At 33.6% G+C, this 26,265-nt stretch overlaps 1 protein-coding gene across 13 annotated transcripts in view; it reads left to right on the top strand.

Annotated features, from left to right (window-relative positions):
* Positions 1 to 26,265, top strand: part of KCNT2 (potassium sodium-activated channel subfamily T member 2) — a 382,662-nt gene that overhangs the window by 134,207 nt on the left and 222,190 nt on the right. For 12 of the 13 annotated variants that reach the window (NR_146057.2, NR_146058.2, XR_001737149.3 and 9 more), the window contains exons 6-8: positions 5,166 to 5,240; positions 6,448 to 6,531; positions 8,847 to 8,941. Coding sequence is in view for 9 of the 13 variants with exons in the window: in NM_001287820.3 (NP_001274749.1) it covers positions 5,166 to 5,240; positions 6,448 to 6,531; positions 8,847 to 8,941 (254 nt within the window). In the remaining 4 variants the exon portion in view is untranslated. The remainder of the gene's footprint in view (positions 1 to 5,165; positions 5,241 to 6,447; positions 6,532 to 8,846; positions 8,942 to 26,265) is intronic. The other variant, XM_017001185.3, reaches the window with a different exon arrangement.

Raw genomic sequence — 26,265 nt, 5'->3', positions numbered from 1 at the left:
AGTGCTCTTTAGGGTTGCACAGATAGTAGTTCCAAGGTTCCATGTTTCTTTATGATAAAAATAAAAGTGCGATGCATTTTAGAAAATCGCATATTTTTCTGCATTATTATTGGTTAAAAATGATGTGTCCGTGCTAAATGTAGACTAATTGGATTGAGATTTCTTTATATTTTATTGAATTCTGTCAATAATAAAAGGAACATAGAGAGGACTGGCCACTGAGATACAGCTACTACTTAGAAACTAAAGAAGTTACTTTTTGGAAGAAGAATAATGCTTTTTATCTCCTTCATGAAAATAAGATTAAATGAAAAATGTATTTAATACAATTTTGAAAGGCATTGTGCTTGCCTTTCAATTTTATTTCTTAGTTTTCTTACATAGTGACATTGTATGAAAGCATACTTTTTTTCACCATACTAGCATTTATCCTTAGGTTTTTGTGATTTATGCTTATTGGGACTCCTTTTTGGCCAATGAAACTTGTGGATCCTTTCTATATTTATGTTTCATTAGCTATTTTTAAGAAAGATAATTTATGGATGTATCTCATAGTTTAGAAGACAACCTGAAATCTTAGAATTAAACTCAATGCATATAACTGAAAAGAGACGCATTTATTTTTAGCAATAAATACATTGCCCCACTGTACAATTTTAGACCATGAAAATTAGTCCTCTGTGGGAAGTTCATTCATGTGTCACAAAACTCACACAAACATACACATATATGCATACATGTGGTGTGAGTCAACAATCCATGGTTGACGTAATGTACCAACAGTTTTTATTTAGGAGATTCAGACTGTCAAGCACTGCGCTAGGAGTAGAGCATGCAATCCTGAAATACACTGGTCCTGATCTTGACCTCACAGAGTTTAAAGTGTTGTAATGTCTTAAGTATATAAATACAAACTGGAAAAAAATGTGAAAGAAATTGATGGAGAATCAAGAAGCCTAATGTGGGGGTCAGATCCTGCCTAGAGGGTATATGATGAAGGGGCAAGGAAAGTCTCTAAAAACCCAGATTTCGGTTGAGAGCTGAAAGGCAGGTATGAGTTAACTTGGCAAAGTGAAGTTGTAAAGAAAGGTAAAGCTTTTCCAAGCCTCTTTAAGAGTTATATGCAAAAGTATACTTAAGGCATGTTCTAAGCAGTGAATATACTTTATATATTCCGTCCATGGAAGGAATGATCTTTAAAATAAGGTTGGAGAAGTCAACAAGAGACAAATGAAATAGTGCCTTGCATGATATAATCACATTTTTGTCTTTGTTTTGTAAGTATCTGAATAGTTCTGAAGAGTAGGCCTGGTCTGGCGTAAAGGTGCAGGGGATTGGTAATAGTGCAGTAGGTGAATTGGAATGGGGCAAGAATGATGGGATGGTGGCTAACTAGGCTTAACAAGTCAAAAAGTGAGAAATGAGCTGAAATAAAAACTAGAAAATCTCAAGATCTATTTACAAATTAGTAGGTCTTATTGATAAATTATAGTATAATTATAAGTATAGTATAGTGTGAAAGGAAAATGTAAAAAGTTTCTCCAAGATTTTTGGTTTGTGTTACTGGGAGATAAGTCAGGGAACAAATCATAAGTTTTGCTTTAGACATACTATATATAAAGTGCTTTAGAGGCGCTGATGTGAATCAGTGGATTAAGCAGTTGATCTGAGTCAGAATCTCAAGAGATAAAATATTGGTTCGAGCTATTGATACAATATTGGAAGTCATTAGCTTATTAGTGATTATTAGTCATTAGCTTATTATAAGTTGAAGCTGAAACATGGATGAAATTACTTAACATGGGTATAGAAACAAGAACTCTTGAATCCTTTCCTCCAGAAAATTTCAATTGGCTCAGCAGTTACAAGTTTAATCATTTCTACATGATTACTTTAAGTATAAAGGTTTTAAACAATATCATTCTTTCAAATGAGATCATTTGGATCCAATGGAAAGAAATGTAAATATTTAAGCTCCAAAAATAAAATAACTATATCACAGAAGGGGAAGAGTGTGTATGAAATAGCTGGGAGTATCATTTACTCATTCGTGATATTAATTGAGCCCCAACAAGCATTTTAAAAAATTAGTTCACTGAAATGTTACAAGTGCTTGCCAAGGAGATTAGTATTGAAGGTGTGGAGGTGTAATATTCCAGCCAGAGGGACAGATGTGGGCAAAAGTCTACAAGCATAAAGTAGCCTAGCTTGTTCAGAGATGGATATAAAATTCAGTGTGGATTAATCTTTGGTTGAGTTCAGGATAGGAATAGAAATATCAAAATTACAAGCCAAGCTAGTAGCCAGAGTTCAAACTGTGAAATTTCATATAATACAGTGATGAGTTTGGATTTTATTATGTTGGCAATGGGAATTTGGCATTTTAGAAAGATTCTTCTGGCTTTAATGTGGAAGAAAAATCGGAAACAAACCCAACCTAGACAGATAATTAAATAAAAATCATAAAAGGCTAATGTGTTATAAATGGAAATGAAGAGAAGAGAGACATAAGAGAGATAAAAGGTTTTTGTTTACATGAACTAAATTATACAATCTGCCACAGTTCATACGAATTTTGCTGGGCATTAACAGAAATAGCCTTTCATATCACTAGCAGCAACTGGTCCCATAACCCTCCTTTCTTGCTACTCAGATCAATCTCTTCTTGTGGACAATCATTGATACCAAAAAAAAATGTAAAATGAAAAGTGAAAATACAATAGTGGAAGAGAAAGGCAAAGGATAACATTCTGGAAATGATGCCGTGTAAAAACTGATGAAAGAAATGATATTATTCACCTGCACAATTAAAAAAAAACATGGCATAACTATGACTAGTTATAACTCTTTTGTTAAATAGTCCTGATTCAGTGGTAGTAGGAAAAGACCACTCTTTCTACACTTCTTCAAAACCGTGCATCCTCTGTCTCATCCATGCTAATCAGATGACATCTCAGAGAGGTTCTATAGCTTTTCTGGTCTTTTCATTCATACGGCAAATCACAGTTTAGTATTTAAGAAATTAGGGGCCGGGCGCAATGGCTCATGCCTGTAATCCCAGCACTTTGGGAGGCCGAGGCGGGCGGATCACGAGGTTAGGAGATCGGGACCATCCTGGCTAACACGGTGAAACCCCGTCTTTAGTAAAAATACAAAAAAAAAATTAAAAAAAGAATAAAAAAAAGATTAGCCGGGCGTGGTGGTGGGTGCCTGCAGTCCCAGCTACTTGGGAGGCTGAGGCAGGAGAATGGCATGAACCCAGGGAGGCGGAGCTTGCAGTGAGCCGAGATTGTGCCACTGCACTCCAGCCTGGGTGACAGAGCGAGACTCTGTCTCAAAAAAAAAAAAAAAAAAAAAGAAAGAAAGAAATTAGGGTCAATATATGCAAAAATTTAAAATTCTCCTTTAAGATGGCTTCTCCCTATCCTCAACTCAGACCTACATGGCACAGGGAATTATCATGGGAGGCCTATCTGATGTTTCTACTTCCTCTCTTATTTGATGCCCTTTAAGGCTGAGGAAGAACAGGGAATGAAGTGCAGTCAGTTTCTGGGTTGAAGTTGCCTGACTGGCACAGTTATTGTCTGGTGTTTGGTTGTTCCTCATGGCAGACACAAGCTCTGGCCCTTTCTCCCATGTAAAGCTTTTGTGGCCTATCTGGAGCCTTTGAATTTCCTGGAGGCCTCAGTGTGTCAGGCTACAGACTAGGGCTCTGACACAGACCTTGGGCTTCTCAGGCCCACCATCTGTTGAAGTCCCATTTCACCTTCAGCTACACAGTCTTACTGAGTGTAAACCATTTTTAAATGACCATAGGTTCCATTCTTTAGGGTTTATATCTGGTTCCCAGAAAATAGGCACTTTTGCCTTAAAATAGGAGGGATTGTGTCCTGTTATTATCCAGTCATCCTTTTTTTCTTTGATCTCTTCAGTTTAAAAAGTTCTGGGCAGTAGCCAAATGCAGTCTCCATGTTGGAGCCAAGTTAAGTGGTTTGGTTCCCTGGAGCCCTTTTCACTTAACTTGAGGTGATGAGATGCACCACAGCACCTGTAACATCTCTATAAGGAGGCATTTTCACTGCTTCCCTTTCTTCTAACTTCCCACTCCTTTACTGTTTTTATGTAGCCTGGATGAGGGTGATAAACTATGCTCACAAAACCTATTACTTAATTTCTTAGTATATGGAGACAATAGCTGCTCTACAACTTTCCTTTGGGATGTGCAAGTATATTCCATCAGTGCAGTTTTTAAACCTTTGGGGCCTTAAGGAAAATTAAGAAAGAGTCCCAATTTTATAGTCAGTGTTATAATGGATAATTGGAGATTACAGTATAGCAGATTTCAAATTGCCTTTCTAATACATAGATCTCTTCATAGAAGAATAAACTGCTTTAGGAAAGTCTGTGCTCATTATCGTCAGACACCAATCAAGAAAGTTTCAGTGGTGACCTCTTAATGTTAGGGTCAGCTTCATGGACACGTATTCTGTGCATAATATCAGGGTCAGCACAAGGTTCCACAACCAGAAGGTCCTCGTGATTAGTTGAATGTTCTAATGTTACCTTCTTGAAATTGTTAATGTCTTATTAGGAGGCCTCATATTTTTCATTTTGCACTGGGTCCTGCAAATTATGTACTCAGTCCTGTTTAATATGTTTGTATTATGAGGGTAGGGAGATTAGAGTCTAGATGATTGAAAAAGTCCTTTCTTTAAATTGTATTAAAGTGAAAACAATTTTAATACCAATGATTGTTAACAAGGGTACGTTTCACAAACTAATATACTTGATGGTTAGTGAATATCATTATTATAGTAAGTAAAACTTCAAATTGTCACTTTTTAATTGACTGTAGGTTTTGTTAATGTGTTTTATTTTTACTAGTACTTTTCTTCCATGACATATTACTTGATAAAAAATGTTATGTGCAATATTCCTGGTTTCTACAAACATTTGTTTTACTTCTTAAACTTACAAAATTGAGAGAGCACAATTACCCTAAGAAAAATAATCTCTAAAAGTCATTGCTACATCTCTATATAATATTCAGTATTCTGTTAATGGAAGCATCCTTATTGCTAGAGAAATTCTAAGTGCTGTCTTTTTCCCCCTTTAATAGGAGGCAGTATAATTGACTTTCGTTTTTATTCATTCTTTCTTGGAAGGGAAACATCTGGGAACAGATTTTACGAATACCCTTCATCTTGGAAATAATTAATGCAGTTCCCTTCATTATCTCAGTAAGTCCTAAAAGAACCTTAAAAAAACACTTTTGTAATTAGACTTAAGTAAAATATTTAAACCTAGATACTGTTAAATAATATGGTAGCTAAGATAAATGGATTTAGACTTTGGTTAGAATCATGATACTAAGCAACAAGATAAAATTGGTTGGATCGTGTTGTGTAACTAAATGGAAACTAATGATTTCATACAATAGCAGAGTAAAATATTTTAAAGAGATATATGTTCTGGGGATGCCATTTGACAAATGTCATTGTTGTTTAAAATTACTAGAAATTACTTATCCACTTATTGTTTATATTGTGGATTTTTTTTAAAAAAATAAGCCAATTGGAAACATATTTACAAAAGTTTTTCATACGTTGAAAATATCTATCTGTGGTTTAACCACAAGATTTATTAAGTCTAGTTCTGTTTTTAGTAAGGAGATTGTCAAAAGTCAGGCACCCAACATTTTGCTTCTTTTCAAACTGCTCTGTGTTATCAGTTCCATGATGATCCTATTCAACTACAGTCCCATAAATATGTTACTCAGCACTTTCCTTTTGCAAAACTATATTTTAATCGCAATTTAATAAAGTTATAATAATGTCTGTTGGGATTATCCTTTGTATTACTTCATTTGAATTTTATTTGGAGGATTTTGAAAATAAGTAGATATTACTTGGAGCTGTCGCTCTGTTCTGATAATTATTTTAATTTGAGTGATTTATCTAGAGAAGCAACTGGAACTAGATTAAATGACAGGTTAACTAAATATAATTCTAATTGAACATAGCTCCGCAATGTCGCTTAAAGTGGTTTAACATAAAGAGAGTAAGAGGCAATATTATGAAAAAAGAGAGTACCTTTCCTCTTTGTTCCTACTTAATACCTCAAGTTACAGAGAAAAGGAAGTCAATGTCTATTACAAACCATCACACTAAAAGATTCAATGATATAATTAGCATAGATATCTGCCATCTGGTGAAAGATTATTATTTTCTTTTTGCTTCTGCAATAATTTCCCTAAGAAAGATTTAGACAATGAATGAAAGAACATATCAATTCCTTACATTTTATTAAGAGTGAGTTTACATTATTTGTCATATTTTAAATTATTATACTTTCTTTAACAGCTTTTTTTCCATTTCTTTTTAGTATACTGGGTATGGTTTATTGCTTTGAGATAAAAGTCTAGTTTTGTTTTGTTTTGTTTTCCAGATATTCTGGCCTTCCTTAAGGAATCTATTTGTCCCAGTCTTTCTGAACTGTTGGCTTGCCAAACATGCCTTGGAAAATATGATTGTAAGTATAGAATTAAAGTGCAAATATGAAAATATTTTTAAACCATTTCTTATTTTCAATGTTTAGATTAAACAGAGAGAGAGAATTTGGGATCTAGTCTTGAACTTTCTAATTCTGCATTCTCCCATAACGTTTAACTCATACTATTGGAATTAATTAAGCTGTAATTAAATTTCCAAATGTTTCATTTTTAAACATCTTTTAAATTAATTTAGGTCATAGTAAATTGTTTCATTTAAATGTTTTTTTAATGAGTCATTGTGGTAAAATACTGTTAAATAGTTAAAGTGATGCATAGTGTAAATTTGAAAGTTAACAGACCTTAAATGACCAGTCTGCTGTATCTTACTCAGAATGAAAACTTGTAAAATGTCCATATTGCCAAGTTACTACCTTTGTAGGGTCCTATGACTGGTAAAGAAAAATGGTTCAGAATTTCTCAATGTCACTAAAAACCTTATTGGTTTTTGGACTGGTTCAACCACTTAGCCAATCTTCAGAGTACAAATATCCTTCCCTCCCAAGGCAGTTTGTTGATGCATAATGGGACTCCTGGCTTTTGAGGGCTCAAGTAAGTGATTTAGTCAAACTGCTCTTAATTGTAGGTAGTCTCATATGCAGTGAACATCTGTGGGGTTTCCTAAGATTCTATGTGGGAGCCAGAAGCCCCTCATTTAGAGTCATCCTTCTGGATTTGCTTGAGCGGGGTTGTGAGTGGGATATTAGGAGAAAAGGAAGCAAGAGGTAGAATAAAAGATGGAGAACTCAGAGCTGTGCCCCAGTTGCATTATACCCAAGGCTGACCCTGCTTGGTGGCATGGTTTATAACTATGACCCAAACCCCAAACATTTTTACCACAGGCTTTAGTACTTCAAAGCTAGCTGTAAGGCATTTCCATTGAGTCATTCATACCACAAATGTTAATACATGTTCACTATATACTGAACAATGTGATGGGCAAATGATCTAACTTCTCTGCTATTATCTTCATCTGCAAAGAAAAGCACCTACAAGTTTGCTATGATAATCAAATGAAATTATATATACATACATATATACAAAATGTACACAGATACATATGCATAATATGTATGTATAGTATTTTATCTGGCACAACAAAGTAAGGGCTCAATATTATTAATTTTACTGCATTGAAAATTATACTTGTTTGGAGGCAAAGTTATTTTCCATTTAAATGGGTTTTAAAATGACATTATGACTAAAGTTTTGGCCTAAAGGAATATTTGGATAACGTTTTAGTATTCACAACTAGATGAATGTTTCTAAACATTTATATCGAGTAACCACTGGAGTCTTATGAAAATACATTGCCAAAGGGTGGGAGAGTGTGGCCTGTGAAATGACTTGCAGAAACATTGGGCTGTCTTAATTGCCCTGATGAAATACTGTTTGACTAAATATAGATTGCCTAAATTGCTAATGAATAAAAATACACCAGAAAAAAATAAACTTATTTGTTAATTTCTGTGTTATTAGTTGTTGGAAAAAAATAACTCAAACAAGACAGGATACATTAAACAAATATTGACAGTAACAAAGCCTGTTTTGCAATATTAATTTATGATTCATTTTCCATTTTATTTCCATATCTCTTTTCGCCAGATGCTAAACTTGTATTTGCTTTTCTGTTCATTAATACCTCTGCCATTAGAGACTAAAGGGTGAGAGATGAAATCCAAATCAGTCAACTTAGTTATTTGTCTTCATAACAGTTCTGGTTAAATGAGTGGTGGACAAAATGAGTGGTACACAAATAATGGCTCATTGCCATAATATCTTTTATAAGAAATTAAACTTAGAAAAAAATTGTTTATTGGCTATTTTATTTTTTTTTCTTTTCAAAATAAACTGTCTGGGCTAATTGATGTTAATTTTCCTGATAATGAGCTTTGTTTGTAATTTCACTCATCTATTCCCTCTTCCTTAATTAAACATACTATTTTCTGATCTTTTGAAATTAGGATTTTCCATAAAAGTTCATGCTTAACATGTAGGGGTTTGGGGGAGTAAGTGCAACACCTGTTCAGATGTCTGTAATGCAAGTAAACTGAAATTTAGTGCTTTGGTAGTCTTCCTACAGCAATATCTTTGAACTATGCAAGCTTTAGTAAGTTACAATCAGATCTAGGCAAAAATGGAAATATGCTTATATTTCCATTTGAAATACATGTATTTACATATGTATGTATGTGTACAGGAGAGTTGACATGAAATGTATGCTAATAAATGTAATGAAACTCATGCATATTTAGTATTTATCAAAATTTACAACTTTTTTTCTGTATTATTTTAGAATGATCTACACAGAGCCATTCAGCGTACACAGTCTGCAATGTTTAATCAAGTTTTGATTTTAATATCTACATTACTATGCCTTATCTTCACCTGGTAAGATTGTACATATCAGAATTTGTGTTATGTTTCATTTAATTATAATTTCTAAAGGAAACCATATTATAAATAACTTTCATTAATAGTTGTCAATAAATAAATAAACAAATATTCACCAAAAAATGTAACAGATCGCCTACAGAAGAAAAAGTAACACTCTTTCTTCAGTCTTAAAAAATAATAAAGCACATACATCATTTGCTATTGATATATACTGCAACTCTGGCATTTTACCAACTGCTGTAAACAGCCAAACTATGAGAATTTATATTGCATCCCATAGTTGTCAAACAAGAATTTTTCCTTCAAACTACTGTTACAGAAGTGCCCTCATCTTTCTACATTCTTCAAAGCAGAAACACTGTTGAGAAAACTGTCCTTACCAATCACTGCTTCTGCCTCTGCTTTCTGTGCATGATTCTTAGTGTGCAGTCAGGCAGAAAGCCAGGGCAGATTTATGGACAGTGCAAGGCAAGACCTGGCACTTCATTATAAAAACATATAAAATATGCTTTATTATAAAAACAGTAATTTCCCTTTCTGGAAGGTCACACTTTGACAATTATAGAGTAATCCAACATGAAATATGACACCGGACATATGGATTCATTCAGATCCTTAATGAGAGAAAAAATGTGAACATCAAAAAATGAGGTAGAATAATATGTTTTTGTTGCAGGAATCTTAGATATGTGTAATTGTGCTGTGACCTGGGTCTGACCCTATTGAGAAAGAGAAAAAGCTAATTAGGAAGTACTAAAAAAGGAAAAATGCACACATACACTAGTACAACTGAGCTAGGTATAAATATGGCTATACATGTATGCATGTAAATATAGATACATAGGTATGACAAGTTTTTGTATCAATAGTATGTGGTTAGTAACTCTACGAAATGGTTTTCAAATATGTTTTATTGCATACTTTTATCATTTAAAAACAGTAGACCTATTTTAGCATACTTAATGCTTTTAAATATAAAATAACCTCTAAGATCGATATAGCCATCTTATCGCCTAGTGTCTTTTTACCTTTCGCAAACTGTCTTTATGATTCACCTAGCAATTATCTAACTGCATTAATATGAAACACTCATTGCAATTATTTCCCTTCTAAAGTCACTAAAAATTCTGGATTTCAATATAATAACATTATTTGGGCAACTTAGGAGTGTTTTCTCATCTAACTTAAGGGAAAGTACTTAAAATTTTTAAAAAAATTATGTATGTATGGTATGCATACGATAATTTTTCAATTGTTGGAAAATTACAAATACTAAAATTAATGATTACTAAATATAATGTGGGAGTCTCTTAAAGTAAATTTAGACAAAGGATAATTGAGATGTTAGTGTGAGAAAAAGGACACGTTATTTTTACATGATGACATTTAGCAGTACTTTTGTTCTGGAGGCATCTTCATCACAATAAATCTTCATCTGTAGTTGGCTTTCTATGCACTCCTACTTTCTGCCTAGTACTTCTATTTTTTGGGTAGTATAGGTGGCACCTAGACAAATTTCACCATTTTCTTATGCGAAAGGATGCAGCATTGCTAGAGAAAGGGTTATTCATTATTTATATGAAATTTCCACTATATAATGTATTCATTATTGAAATTATTTCTATTTCATTGTTTTATTTGGTATAATAGTTATTGTTTTGTTGTTTTGTGTGTGTCTTGTGTGTGTGTTTTAGTTTTAAATAACCGAGTAGTGGTTTTGAGATGTTATCTAATATTACAACTGTCACCAGTAGTGGATATGTCCCTTAATGTGCAATAATTACATAACATTAAGTTTAACTACATACAATTTTATTGTTTAATCACATGTATCATAATATATTCTTAAATTATAATAACTCAAATGGATAAACAGGTTTGATTTCTTTGTGTATTCTTCTCTGCATTACAAGCAAACTGTCTTCATAACTTATGATCATCATCATAAAATCGAATAAGTTTCATTCAAGTTCAACATCAAAGGTCTAATTACCAAGAAACATATAAACAATGTTATATATTAGTTATATCTTAGTCATAGTATGTCATGCAGGCTGTTTTAACAAAGTGTTACACCATACACAATGTAAAATAGAAATATCCACAAAAATACAGCAACTTAAACAAATAGAAATGTCTAGGTAGTCTGTCTAAGACTGTTTCCCCAGCTTGATACTGCTGGGGAATAATTTTCCTTATATCTTGTTCCTTCCATTTTTCAAAACATGGTTTCTGTCTATGGTTCAAGATGGCTGCCCTGTTCTTGCAAGTACGTCCTAAGTCCAGCCTGTAGTTAGAAAAATAAGACACAAGTTGTACTTTAGGCTAGAATTTGGTTATATATCCACACATGGCTGAAAGGGGGCCTGCAAAAACATTGTCTAGCTGGGTAGTAGTATATCCAGCTGAATATCATACTATCACACAAAAAAGAAAAAACAACTGGAGACTGGAATAAAAAGAAGTCTCTTGGTACTAAGTGATAAAAGTCCACATGTACATTAGTTGTTTAAAACCTAGGGTTATCCTAGTTTAGAGCCCTTGAACAACTTTTTTACACATCATTAAATGAGGATATTAATCACTCTATAAGGTTATTTTGAAGTGAGGATTAAATTAGATATAAAGTGTTAAGCAAATAGCATGGCAAATAATGTTAACACCTCAAAAGTTTTAGTTTTTTTTTTCCATTTCAAATGCCTTCTTTATAAAAGATGATTAAATTCTCATGTGAGTCCACAAAAACTAAATTACTTAAAAATATCTAAACATAGTATCCTTTTAATAAAACTATAAGAGGGAACCACTGTGCCTAAAATATATTAACAGAAAATATAAGAAAACATCTTTCACCACTGTATTCAAGTTTTCAGTATTTCATACCTATTTCTAATACTTGAGTCTCTCATTATCTCCACCAAGTTAAAGATAATGGTAGCATCGCTCTCTTGGTACATTTAATGCTTTCAATGACACACAGCATTGCGACATGCCCATGGCTCCAGTTTTACTTCATTCAGAGTACTTTTAAAATTTGATCTTAGTGTAACATGACAGATAAAAACCAGGGGCATGGTAAATAGGGGAATAATTTTAGGCCACAGAGAGGGAAGTAACTGTTCTGTAAAGATAAAAGTGAACTATTTTTTGGACTATTGAGAAATATTTCTCATATGAATAGATTCCATCATTTATTTTACCACTTTCTGAATATTGAACCATAGGACATGTCAGAAATTAACATTACTAAATCAGAACTTGTAATATGTACATTGTAATTTGAGCCTGAAAGATTTGGATAAATTGGCTATATTGTTCAGGAATCTTACAGTCTTAAAATTACCTGTTTTAGAAAGCTGTTACATGGTTTTTTAAAAAGATTTTCCCTTCACCATTACAAAGAACTATCAATATGCATCTGTCTGCAAGAGACACATGTTTAGTGCCAAACTGAAATAAAAATTAAGCTGCTGTGCTGACCCACTCTCTATGGGAAATGTGCTCAGAATTGTTTTTTCGGTCATTGTAATGGAATTGGACTAATCTGTCCACATATTGGCAGTGTACCCCTCTTCATCAATAATACACACTTCCAAGACAGCTGGGAATTGTGATTCATTCTGCGTCTCTAAAACAAAGCAGAGTAAACTGGAGCATCCGGGAATTAAATGCATGACTTTAGCTTAATTATCAACATATTCTAACCAATAATAAGCACTATCATTTATAATGAATTTGGTGTTTCTAATTTTACAGATAGATTTATTTTGCAACTACTTTACTTCAAACTTTAATATTTTTAAATTTACATGTGTTTATATATTTTCATATTATTTCATGGGTTTCTAACATAAGAAACTATATTATGTTAACTGATTTCCTGTTTTAGTTCAATGTTATAATTTCCTGTTTTAGTTCAATGTCATAATAATAATTGAATCAATTCACCTTCTCAGTCTTATTTCAAGACAAAATAAACTCATTTATTGTTTAAAAATATGATCATGTTAAACATGATTAACATGCTTAATTCAAAAGTACTTGGAATGTTCCTATGCATCGATTAAAACCTATTTAAACACTGGATGCTTAAGTTCTTGAACTCTATTTACTGGTTAAAGTCTAACGGCAAATAGCTACTTGGGAAGTGGACAGTGAGAAGATAAGTACTGTAGTTTGGATGAAGAATTACAACATGGTCTAATGGTGTTAATTGCCACTGTCATATTTGGTTCCTAGTTTTTTGTTTTTTTTCACATTAGTTTTTCTTACATTGTAAATGAATTACTGAAAGTGCTTTTGTCTGAAGATCTGGCAATTGACTAACAACTTTCTTCCTTATTCTTCCTGCTATGGTTTAAATTTTCATAATGGCTATGTATAATTTTTGAAAACAAAATAAGACGAAGTCACAAAAAGTGAGAAATGTAAAAGGAGGAAATAAAATTTAATACAAAATGCAAAATATAATTATATGTAATATTCAATATAATCTGCATAATTAATTTGATCCTTATTCAAATGAGTCTCATATTAAGTTCTACTTCCCCACTTTCTCCTACTCATCATTCAAGTCTCAACTTTTTGATTGTAGCTTCTCTATGACACTTTCTTGTAGTCTGTCTAAATTATGGAATATGGTCAAGGTTTATGCTTCTTCAACATTCTAAAACCTGTGAAATATATAATGATTCTTTAATTATCAGTGTTTCTTCTAGACTTTTATAATTCATGAGCGCAAAGACTCAATTTGCCTTTCTTACCATTTTATGCCCAGCATCTCTTATGGTAGTTGGATAATACTAGATGTTTAACTAATATTTGCAATTGATAGAAAATAGCATTCTGGAATAACAATACCCTTATCAAGTGGAGATACTTAAATATATTATAAGTTAAGCATTTCAAACCATGTATTTTAAGAACACTATTTTAAAACTCTTATTTTCAGTTAAGTTTTGTGTGAGGTCATAAGAAGGACTTTTACAGTTATAAGCCAGAGTGTAAATCTGTGAAAATGGCTTCTGGCAAAAAGATATGACTGAGTAGTAAAACTTTTGCAACTTTTTAATTTAAAAAAATACCCTTGGATATAATTTTTGTAAATTACACGCACATACCTTATAGAAATGATAAACCAAATTTTGGCCAATTTTGTCTCCATATAACCCCCAAATTTATGCCTTGAACATTTTCCCTTTTTTGCTTTTTTTTAGAATTTGTGAGAGCAGAACAATGTAATAAAATTACTGAAACTGTTAGAAAGAAAATGGGCTTGCTGCCCGATGCACAGAGAAGACAATAACTATGGCACTGGCTTTTGAGAAAAGAAGGCTTTATTGAAAAATTGGCCATCAAAGAGAGAGGTTCAAATCAGTTTCCCTGATTTGGGACCTGAAGCAAGTTTTAAGGGGTTAGAGGGCAAGATAAAGGATTTAGGAATGTTTACTTGACAGAGTTTGATTAGAGGACTTCAAATGTGGTCATTTACAGTAAGCTACGTTGAGGCAAAGTTTAGCCGTGCATCTTCCAAGTGAAGGAATCCCTCACTTCTGAAAGTTTTCAGCATTCAGATTCTAATTTTGTCCCAGTCTTTTGGTTCAGGATGTTGTTAGAGGTCAAAGCTTTTTCTAGGGCACATGCCCTGACTATGACTTACAGTTTTTGGCTCTGTTATACCTAAATGATAACTTGACATTTTATCAACAGAGCAGGCCCAGTTTGAGCTAGTGCCATGGTTACAGAACTAGCAACTGCATGGAGCATACAAACAAACTGGTTAAATACTCAGAGCATTATCATAAGTGCCATCATGTTTTTCTCTTCCCATTATTGTTTAGGATGTTTAACTTTTTTTTTCTATTTCTTTCTTTGATTTTTTTTCTTGAAATTTCTATTTTACTTTTGTCTGACCTGAATCCTGATCCTCTCCTGAAAATCTGTTAATTTTCCATTATTTTGAAATAAAGAAAATCCATGTTTGTACATTAGGGCACAGGATAGGGCATGGTCACCTTTTATAAATTATTAAATGGCAAAGTATATTGACCCCAAATTTATGGCTAATGACATGATTTACTAATGTTTTTTGCATAGACACAAAGACAGTGCTCAAGAGAGTGAGACATTTCTTTTGACAATAGAAAGACTGGTTTTATCATTACCTCAAAAAAAAAATCCCCTAGAAAATGTAGAATCCCAACATCTCAAATGATCGTATGTTTCATGGGACTCTTAGATATTAGGTATACAATCTACGGGAAATGAAAATGATTATTTGGGACAATTTAATTGGTATTCACTGAATAAATACCAAAGTGCAAGTTGAGGGCTGATTTGAATGCTAATGTTTGAATTACAGGAATGGATGAAAGTGTTAGATGATTTCAGCACAGAATGCCATTGCTAATTAAGTTTTTCCAGTAACTGTGCACAGCAATGAGATTCATAGGGAGTATATGGGATATTAAGCATTATTTATTCCTGCCATGTGACTTTTTTTCTCTGATAATATTTTGTTGTACAAATTGACATTTACCAGGTGGTAGAAAAGTTTGCAGTCTCAATATTTCCTTTCATTCAAATTAATGTTTTCCTTATAAAACATGCCAAAGCTTGAAAAATTTGTACTGCCAAATGTATAGTTAACATTTTAAAAGAAGCGCATTTTAAGAAGCACAGAATAAATAATTTGCAGTTAATGTGCCTTTGTAATGATATACAGGACCTCTTTAAGTAAGTAGATTAATTATGACTTTTAGGTATTTTGAGAGGGTAACATAAGAGTTTGTATTCAACTTCCTAATTAAATTTTGTTTTAGAATTACGTAACAACAAAATTATTTTGTATGGGTTTGTGTCAAAGATAACACTTAAGAATGTTTTGTAAAGAAGCAAACTCCACAGTATATTCTTAACTCAAATCCAACATTCTTCATGAGATTATCTTGAAATATTTTCTAAAATAAAATGCATTTTTATAAAAGAAATAATTAATATTGAAGTCTTACAAAACATAATTTATTTAAATTCTTTTATATTTGAAATATATTCTTACGTAATATAATTTTTGTTTTATATTATTTTGTTTTTTAATATTGCTTTTTAATTAAGCAGTCACCCATTCAGGAATGAGAATATTATACACCTATATATTTATTTTGTATATATTAACAAAATTATATATGACATTGTAGCAGGTAGGTTTGACCCAGTTGCAGGTTGGGGCTGAGATGAAATGTAAAATTGTATGTCTCATTCTGGATGTTTTTAGTCTCGTGCGTTATCTGCACTGGGAGCTTTGCCTTTAATAACTCAAACGTTCCTCTTCCCAGAGCCTTATCTTCTAATTCTGGTTTTTATCACTGCAAAGAGCTCAAATCTATCATTGTTGTGAATGGTGCATTTTGAGGCCATGACTTAACTGGTGGGGGCTCTCTCACCTGTACTCTCAAGCAGCAATTGAGTGCAATCTCTTCTAGGTCAGGGCAGGCTGTTCACTAAGTTAACTGTTGACTCCTTCTTATGGAAGATAGGTAAGAAGCCTTGACTAAAAATAGATAGCTTAACGATCAATAATAAATGGCCTCCATTCTATTTTAGTTTGTGCTGAACCCTTTCCATTTACCAAGTGCGTGCTATCTAGGTTGTTCTTAATACATTTACCTTATTTTCTTTCACCTCTTATTAACTTCCTTAATTACTCTCTTAATGATAGTTGTTGTCACACCAGAGTGACTTCAGGGAGTTGCTTTTTTTTTTTTTGGTAAGCTTTAAGATGTGCTTGCCATTTGGAATAATGGTAAGCATAACAAAACTCTGGAACCACGCAGTCCAGGGCTCATATTATGCCTTTTTCATTAATCAATTCAGTAAGTATAACTTCATGTCATTTAACTGCTCTAAGTTCAGTTTACTATCCATAATATGTAGATAATAATATTGTATAGAATTGTTGTGAAAAGACTGAGTTAATATATAAAAAGTAAGTACTAGAGAACACAATTCATTATATGAACCAATAAATTATTATTATTATTATTTAATTTTTAGTGTGAGAACAGTGTTTTTTTGTGGGTAAGAGGGCTATGCTTGCCTGAAAATGGACTCCACTGTTATTTTCTAAATTGTCTACTCCTTTTAAATCAGTTTTATCTTCAGACAGCCTTGAGAAAGTACATAATAATGTGTGTTGAATAAATATGGAATACAAAGTTTGGGTGTAAAAAATTATTTTGTTTGGAAAATAGCTCACTTTTTGATTGGGATCTCAGTTGAGAATTAAATTGTTTTGACTGGAAAATACAAAGAATTCCTCTCAGGAAACTTGTATTAAGACCAACCGTTGTACCTTTATGCATTAACATCCACATTCATACACTAATATGTATTCTTTGGTTTAACTATATCATGCCTACTGTCTCCAGGGCTTTTAGGTAACTTTTCTAGAATATATTTCTGATATGCCTGTGTCATTTATTGATGTCTATTAAATGCTTGGTATAGATCAGATTATAATTATGCTTACAGAGATGAACTTGGTTAGTACCTGATCTTAAGAATCTTATGATGTTTTGGGAAAATCATGTATAACACTAGTGGTATGAACAAAGTCAAAATGGACTTCAGATAATGCACAATTTAATTGCATCTATTACTTTACTCCCCTATTAACAAATAACCAGAAGACCCAATGGGGCATAAATAAGATCTTAAAACTTAGGAATTGTTAAGGGCACTTTGACACCTAAAAATGAGAAGACAAAATCTGGAAGCAGTCAAGAAAGGTACATTTTGTTAATCAAAGAAATAAGACATATATAGAAGTAAAATATAATGGTAGCACAAAGGACAGAATGGAGCAAATAGAATTGTATTGTTTTAATTTTTATACTATACATAACGTTAAATTCTGGAAGCAATCATTACAAATGCAATAAAACAAAATAAAACAAAAGGATTTTGTCAGTAAATCAATAATGGAGACAAAATGGATCTTTAAACATACTTAAAAAAAAAGGAGTGCCCTACTTAAAGTGTAGTAGAAAAAAACATGAAAACTTGGCAAAGTGCAAGAAAGACTCCCGGAGGAAGTCTGCTTAAGACATCCTTTTCCTCCTCCACTTCCAATATCAGCTTCTACCTGTTCATGCCTCCTGAGGCAGGCAAGAAAAGTGCCAAGAAGGAAGCAGTTGGGATATTTTTTGCCATTGGGGAAACTGGAGAGCCTGAGACTAGAATAAAGTTACTAGAGTGAGGACTGAATGAATCGGAACCAGATAATTGTTTAAACTTGGAGATCCAGTGTAGGTGGACATCGGCTGGAGTGAATTTTACCAATCTGCCTGGGCTCCAAAGAGTTAAGGATGAACTAAAGAGCTTGGCTGAGGCCTCTCCATCTACTGAAAGTGGGAAATTTGAGAACAGGGTCAGAAAGGTTTCTTGCTGGTGCCTCAGCCAGGTTTTCACAGCCAGTGTACTGCTGGCCCCCAGGAGCAAAGACGCCTCTGCTTTCCTGAGAATTGCCACCACTTGCTCAACAAGCAGATAAAAGAAAATAATCATCTAAGAGGGCCAATAATAAAAGAAGGGAAAAACAAATAATAATCTAGATAGGTCTCTAATTAAATAGACTTGCTCATGGAAATAGAACACACTATGGAATGGACTTTGAAGATATATGTGGAATAACTAATCAATACTATAGATGTTCATAAGAGAGAAAAACAAAAGATAGAAGAAAGATAATAAACAAATAATAGGAAAAGAAGGTATGCTGTTTTGAGGAAAGATGTGAGTCTAGAGATTAAAATATTAGAAAAAAACCACCATCTCAGCATATAGTGCTAAAATTACTTCACTCCAAAGACAAAGAAAAACTTGTTCAAGCTTCCGGTAGGAAAACAAAAGATTAATGACCAATTGACTTATAAATTATGTACTGCCTATTTACAAAAGGTAGGCAGCTTGGCCTTCAAAGATGTCCATGTTCTAATCTCTGTAACTTGTGAATATGTTACATTAGATGGTAAAAGGGACTTCAAAGATGTAATTAGGGGAGATTATCCTGGGTTATCCAGGTGACCTAGTCTGAAATCATATGAGCTCTTACAAGAAGAAAACTGTGGGGCTGGCGTCAAATAAATGCACTATAAGGAGAGATGAGACAGAAGGGAAAGAGAGATGAAGTATGGGAAGGACCAGCCATTTCCAGCTTTGAAGCTGAAGAAGACCACATGCCAGGGAATGCAAGAGTCCACTAGAAGGTGAAATTGACTCCTGGTCAAGAGCCAGGGAGGAAACAGTACTTTAGTCCAACAATCACATGGAACTGAACTGCATACAACATGAGTGGACTTGGAAGCAGATTCTCCCCTAGAGCTTCTAGTAGTGAGCCTGGGCTGGTCAACACCTTGATTTCTGCCTTGGGAAACTCATAGAGAAGAAACCGGCTGAGCCTACCTAGACTTCTGGACTCTAGAATTGTGAGAAAATGAATTTGTGTTATTTAAATGCTATTTGTGGTAAATTTTTTAAATGCTGTTTGTGGTAATTTTTTTTTCCTGCAGCAATCAACAACTAGTACAGTTTTCATGGAAAATAATTCAACCCAGCAATTCCATTACTGGGTATATACTCAAGAGAAAATAAATCATTCTACAAAATGGGCACAGATGGGTGCCCATCTGTGGTAGATTGGATAAAGAAAATATGGTACAGATACACCATGAAATACTACACAGTCATGTCTTTTGCAGCAACACAGATGCAGCTGAAGGCCATCATCCTAAGTGAATTAATGCAGGAACAGAAAACTAAATACTGCATATTCTCACTTGTAAGTGAGAGGTAAACACTGGATACATAAAGATGACAACAATAAGCACTGGGGACTGCTAGAGGAGAAAGAGGGGAAGGAGGGCAAGGGCTGAAAAACTACCTGTTAGATACTATGCTCACTATCTGGATGATGGGATCATTTGTACCCCAAACCTTAGCATCATGCACTATATCTATGTCATAAATCTGCACATGTACCCTCAGTACCTAAAATAATAGTTTAAATTATATAAAAAATAAAATTAATGCATTTGCAACAATCGTTGTATCTGCTATACTGGAAATTCCAAGATGGTTGAAAAATATGTATAGACATCAGAGAGAAAAGCCTGAAATCAAGAATCCTATACCCACTTCTCTAGGTGTAAGAAAATTATTTCAGGAAATATAAGGATTAAAAGAGTACACATTCCATCTGAGAAAAATACACAGGGAAGAATAATAAAAAAAATGGAAAGATGACAAAATATGCAATTGGCTGTGAATTATGCAATGCATTCATTTAATCAATATTTATTGAGAAACTAAATCCATTTCAGAACTTCTAGGGGGCTAAAGATAGAGAAATGAGCAAGTAGAGAAAGATAATGCTTTCAGATAGCTTATATTACATTTGGGGGTGGGCACAGATGGGAGATGAATAATAAATGTTTATCTTTTCTATGTTGAGTACCGATAAAAACTATAGGGAAAGATAGGGAGGTAAATTTCAGATAGTTTGGTGAAAGAAGGCTCTAAGGAGTAACATTTGTGGTGACACGTGAATTATCCCCCCATTGGATGTGGCATGATCTAAGATATGACTATAGAGGTTGAGTGACCAAGAAGTGGAGGAAGGAAAGATTAATGTGAAAACATTAAAACAACAATCTGAGAAGTCAGACTGTTTCAGTCAGTATCCAGTCAAGAAAACAAAAATTACTGTCTATTGGAAGGGGGAACTGGTGGCAACATTATAGAAGTACTCAAGGAACAAAAATAAGAATATGAGAATTTTCCACTTCTGAACTGGAGGAATTAAAGTAAAATGATGAAGTTGTCAGTATCATGGCGCTGCCTTACAAGAATTTACAAGCCACACAATCACTGACTTTGGAGATCCAAGGAGTCAAAAAGCATCCCTCAATGTTGCTGCGACCACCTGAGCCAAAGTCCTCAAGTGCCGTAGTGTTGAGGCTATGGAAAATCCACTACTGTGATTGGAGTCAGATCCTAAGAATATCGTTCTACTGCAGTCTCTGGCGTGCCTTCTGCTGACACACTCCACAAAAGCCAGGCTTCCACACACACCAGCTATTGGTGCTGTTACTTAAAAGGCCAAAAAAAGATAAAACAACAAAAACAATAACACAAACTGAAAAACAAAAATAAACCAAAAACAGAACAAAACAAAAATAACAGGCAAAAACAGCTTCTCATTTACTGTGATCATTAGTTTTATGTCAGCCTCACTGGGCGACAGGGTTCCCAGATAGTTGTTGAAACATTCTGAGTGTTTCTGTTAGGGTGAGTTTGATGAGACTAACATTTTAATTAGTAGAGTAAGGCAGACTGCCCTCCATAATGTGGGTGGACCTCATCAGTTGAAGGTATAAATATAATTTTAAAAACCCACCCTCCCCAGACCCTCCACTAACTGACTTCAGACTTCAACACTGGCTTTCCCTGGGTCTCTCACACCATCAGCCTTCATAGTTTAGTGAGTCAATTCCTTATAATACCATCTATTTATATAACATATTGGTTCTATTTCTATGGAGAATCCAGACTAACACTCTTCCTTCTGTATTCCAGTCTGCCAATAGTGCCTCTGTGCTGACAGAATCTAACCTGAAGTCAAATGACAAGACAGACAGGAAATTTCAGTTTGCAGACATAGTTTCCAAAACATAGCTGAGCCGTAAAAAGCTGATATGGAGCTGAGTGCATATACAAGATTGCCTGTACACAGGTTGTTGAGGGAGTCATCTACATGAATGGAGACTGAGACCATATAGGAGAGTTAGTGAAATAGGGAGCTTAGTGAGCTATAGAATAGGGATAATGATCTGGGTTATAATCTGTAATTTTAGACTTTGATGGTGACTAAAGAAAATGAGAGGCATATGGCAATAATCATCAATATATTTCATATAAAGGTGGGTTATTAGTTCTCAGAGTTTCTTTGGATTCATTCAAAGGCAGCTTATAGCAATGAAGTGGTAATGTGATAGTAGCTGGGATTAGTGATATTACTGGAAACATGAAAAGCTTTACGTGCCTTTTAAAAACCTTGCAGATAGAAGGCATGACTTTAGTCGTGCACTTGTACAACTCAAGGTCATACAAGCATCTTTATAGAAAGCAAGGGAAGTTATAGAGGGATCTCTTAAGTCTGTGTGAATTTAAACTTAAGAGGATATTGTTTTATCAGATAATACAAATACTGTGTGGGAATACTTGTCTATTACCCGATTCTAATAACTGTCTTGAAAAAAAGAACTAAATTATCTGAGCAAACCTAGGAGAGGGGAGAAGGAAAGCTAGGAAAAGTGTAATAGCATTCCAAAATTTTATTTGGGAATATTTATAATGTATGGTACAGAAAGGACCATATCTCTTTGGTCAGTCTCCCCAAAAGAGGGGAAAAATGAGTAACAACAAAGTAAAAGAAAAAACAGTAAACACAAATGATATTTAAATAACAAATACAGATTAGTTCCTTCATTCCCCTAAACATGAAGGAACTAAATTTTTCTATTGAAGAAAAGAGAGTGTCTTATTGAGTAAAAAAATTAATGCTCCTTATAAGAAGTATATTAATGTTCCTTATAAGAAGTATATTTTAGTATATTTAAGGTGGTAAGGAAACTTTACAAAGGGATAACAAAAAAGTGCAAATGAAAAGAAAGAGGACTGGCCTGGCACGGTGGCTCATGCCTGTAATCCTAGCACTTTGGGAGGTCAAGGCAAGCAGAACTCAGGAATTTGAGACCAGCCTGGGTAACTTGGTAAAACTCCATCCTACTAAAATCCAAAAAAAAAAAAAAAAAAAAAAAAATGTGTTGGGTGTGGTAGCGCACGTCTGTAGTTCCAGCTACTCGGGAGGCTGGGGCATAAGAATTGCCTGAACCTGGGATTCACAGGTTGCAGTGAGCTGAGATTGTGTCTGTACTCCAGCCTGGGCAACAGAGTGAGATGGAGTCTCAAAAAAAAAGAAAAAGGAAAAAAAAAAAAAAAAAAAAAAAAAAGAAAGAGGGATTAAGAGGGATATAGCACTAACAATGCGAATATTTATTAATTCAGTAAGCGTAATTTTGAATTTCTTTTAGGTTGCTAGAGCTGGAGCAGTAATTAAAATGATCAAAATCTTTTTTAACTTAGGGATAATGACAATAATCATTAGCTGACATTATATAATGTCAGCTAATAAAAAAATGAGAAAATAAATCTGTGGCGAGGATGGAGGCAGATGGGCTCCTTTTTTAGGTAGGGTGTTCAGGGAATTGCTCTCTACAGAAGTAGAATTTGAATAGGGAAATAAATGAAGTATTCAAATAAACCATGCATATGTCTAGTTAAAGTGTGCTAGGCAGAGGAGGAGTCAGTGCAGAGCTCTGGGACAGAAGCTTTATTTACTTATTTGAAGAACGTACTCAGATAGACGTTTTAATAAAAATGCTGTGGATACTATATGGAGAACAGGCTGTGGGGAGACAAGAGCAGTAGCAGAAATACTGGCTGGGAGGTTACTGTGGGACTCCAGGAAAGAGGTTATGAAATCTTGACCTAGAATGGTAGCAAGGAAGTAGGCAGTGATTGGATTTGCAATCTGCTTTAAAGACAGAAGTGACACACTTTTGATTACAAACTAGATATAAGGTGTGAGGACAAAAAAAAGAATAACTTTGAGGTTTGTAATCTGGAAAACTGTGAATGATGGTGCCACATACATACAAGGATAAGAAAATCTGGAAAGGAATCTGGAAAGGAATGGAAATAAGGAGTTCATTATATTCTACATAACTTTTAGAAATACAAGGGGAGATGTTAAATAGCCATTTAGCTATAGGATCCTGGAGTTCAGTAGAGGGATTAGGATTAATGTGTAAATTTGGTAATCATCAACATATGAATGATCACTAAAATCACAGGATTAGAAGAGAGTACCTAGGCAATGACAAAGTGGAATCTCTGATTAAAAGTAAAACAAAACAAAAACCTTTACCGGGCAGTGGGAGGCATTATATAGGGATGAAAGACACAATGTGTTAGTAGATAGGGTCTTCACCTATGGTATCTAAAACACTTGGCCATTAAATATACAAAGCAAAAATGAGTGAAAATGCAATGAGAATTTGATAAAAATATAATTGTAGCAGAAGATTTTTATAAAGAACCATATTACTAAAATGGATTTGAGAATATTTTTTTATTTTCCACTTCTTCAAACACAGCCCTTTCTATACCATCCTACCCAGATGGTTGTCTATTTTAAACCATAGTCAACGTCAGAGCTTTTATAGTACATTTTTGTTATTATAAAAGCATTTTCCTACCCTCAAGCAACCAAACTTATGCTGAATTCATACATCTTTTTAAAACATCATAAAGTCAATTTTTCTTTTAAAATTCTTCATTTTTTATTCTTTTTTCTTTATTAGTGCCTTTTCTATTACCCACCTCCTGAAATTGTGCAGATATTTTTACATTTCAACTGAGTATAGAGTCCTTATAATGAAGATTGTGATTCATTGCTTTTCTTCTCATGATTTCCTATTAGTACATTGTCTAAATTATTTCATCATATATGATGAAATAACCTTTTTCTTGTCCATGATCTTTCCCAGGATATTTTAAAGTATTTTGATTCAGAGTGTGTTGAGATACTTATTTTAGCAATGTCTTCTTTTTCTACATGCATTGCTTAAACTGATGATATCTCCTACCCAGGTTAATATACCAGGGTTACATTATCTTCCACTAACATCTTGCTTTGCAAATATTATATAGAGTATTTCTGATTTTCCCTAATAATCCAGGTTCATTGGGACACTTAATATTCTTTTTACAGAGCCTGTCTGTTAGCCCATTGAATTACATTTATTATAGGTCTTTGTTAGGTCTTTATGTATAAGTTTTGGGTATTTATTTTTAGGTTCCTGGTTTGCTAGCACATTGATTTTAGGATGTTCTAAATATCTCATTAGAATTTCATATGAGCTTGTTCCCTCTAGTGTGCCTACTGTGAAGGTGGAAAACCACTTTCAATTCTCTGCTTTATAATTATCTTTAATATTGACAATTGAGAGTACTCGGTCTTCTTTTCTACAAGCCAAATATTCCCCAAATGCTTTAACTGTTCTCCCCAGGATTTTTGTTTGTTTGTTTGTTTGCCTTTCTCTAAATTTTTCCCATTTTATGATTATAAATTCAAACAGGGCCCAGTGCTGAATAACTGCAAAGATCCAGCTCATTTATATAAAAGCATTGTGTAATTTATAAAGTGCTATTCAAACATGAAGTAGTATTTTTATTGCCACAATTTAGGGGAAATATTTTTAGTTTAAAAAAATGATTGTTCTTCTTAGGTTTTATTTTTCACAGAGGCATATTTATATACAGCTATCTAGAGTGTCGTTAGGTAGAAAACAAAACAAAAAAAGTCATTAGATTTGAAGATATCTTGGTGTACCTCTTTCTTGCTGTGTGACTTTAGTTGAATAACAGGCTTCCTGAGCCTCAATCTACTCATTTGTCAAACGGAGAAAGAAGAATATTATATAAACTTCAACAATAGGATTTGAGACAGCTTTTAAAGTAGACATGAAATTGGATTATTATAACAGAAACAGAAAAAACTATAAGTCAACAGAGTCGGGATTAAGTATAAACATTGTATAAACATTATAAAAAGCTTCCAGGCCACACAGTAGAGGGCAGGTAATGCAATTTTACTTAGCTCTCATTAGAGAGAGTAAATACATAGTTAGAGAAAAACAAAACACACGTTTCTCAATGAAATTAATATTTTCCCTCTTGCAGAAGTCAGGAATTTCATTATGTAGGCAAAATAATACAGAAATGTTATATATAATAATACAATATATTTTTTATAAAAATTTTTATAATGTGCAAATAGCATTGGCTCCCTGCCTATTGCCTTAGAGTTTTGCTTGCATTATCTCTTTTAATTCCAGTAATAGCTCTAAGACACTGAGATACTTATTATCTCTTGTCTATAGATGAGACAAATAAGGTCAGAGGGAGTTAAGTGAGTTTTTAAGTAAGTTGGACATCAGAAATGAGTCTGGGTTTCTCTGACCATGCTCTGCCTTCTTTTTCATGCATTGAAGCCTTATCAGTAGTTTGAAAGCAATTCTTTTTTCAGGGGATGACATGTTGTGGTGAAAATTATGGTGTTTTCCAAGATTCAACTTTATCCTAGGAGATCCATTAGAAAACATAGAGCAGTGGAAGAATAATTTACACTTTCATTT

The sequence above is a fragment of the Homo sapiens genome, chromosome 1 (genome assembly GCF_000001405.40).
Source record: "Homo sapiens chromosome 1, GRCh38.p14 Primary Assembly".
Taxonomy (NCBI): domain Eukaryota; kingdom Metazoa; phylum Chordata; class Mammalia; order Primates; family Hominidae; genus Homo; species Homo sapiens.
This window is presented reverse-complemented; position numbering and strand designations above follow the sequence as displayed.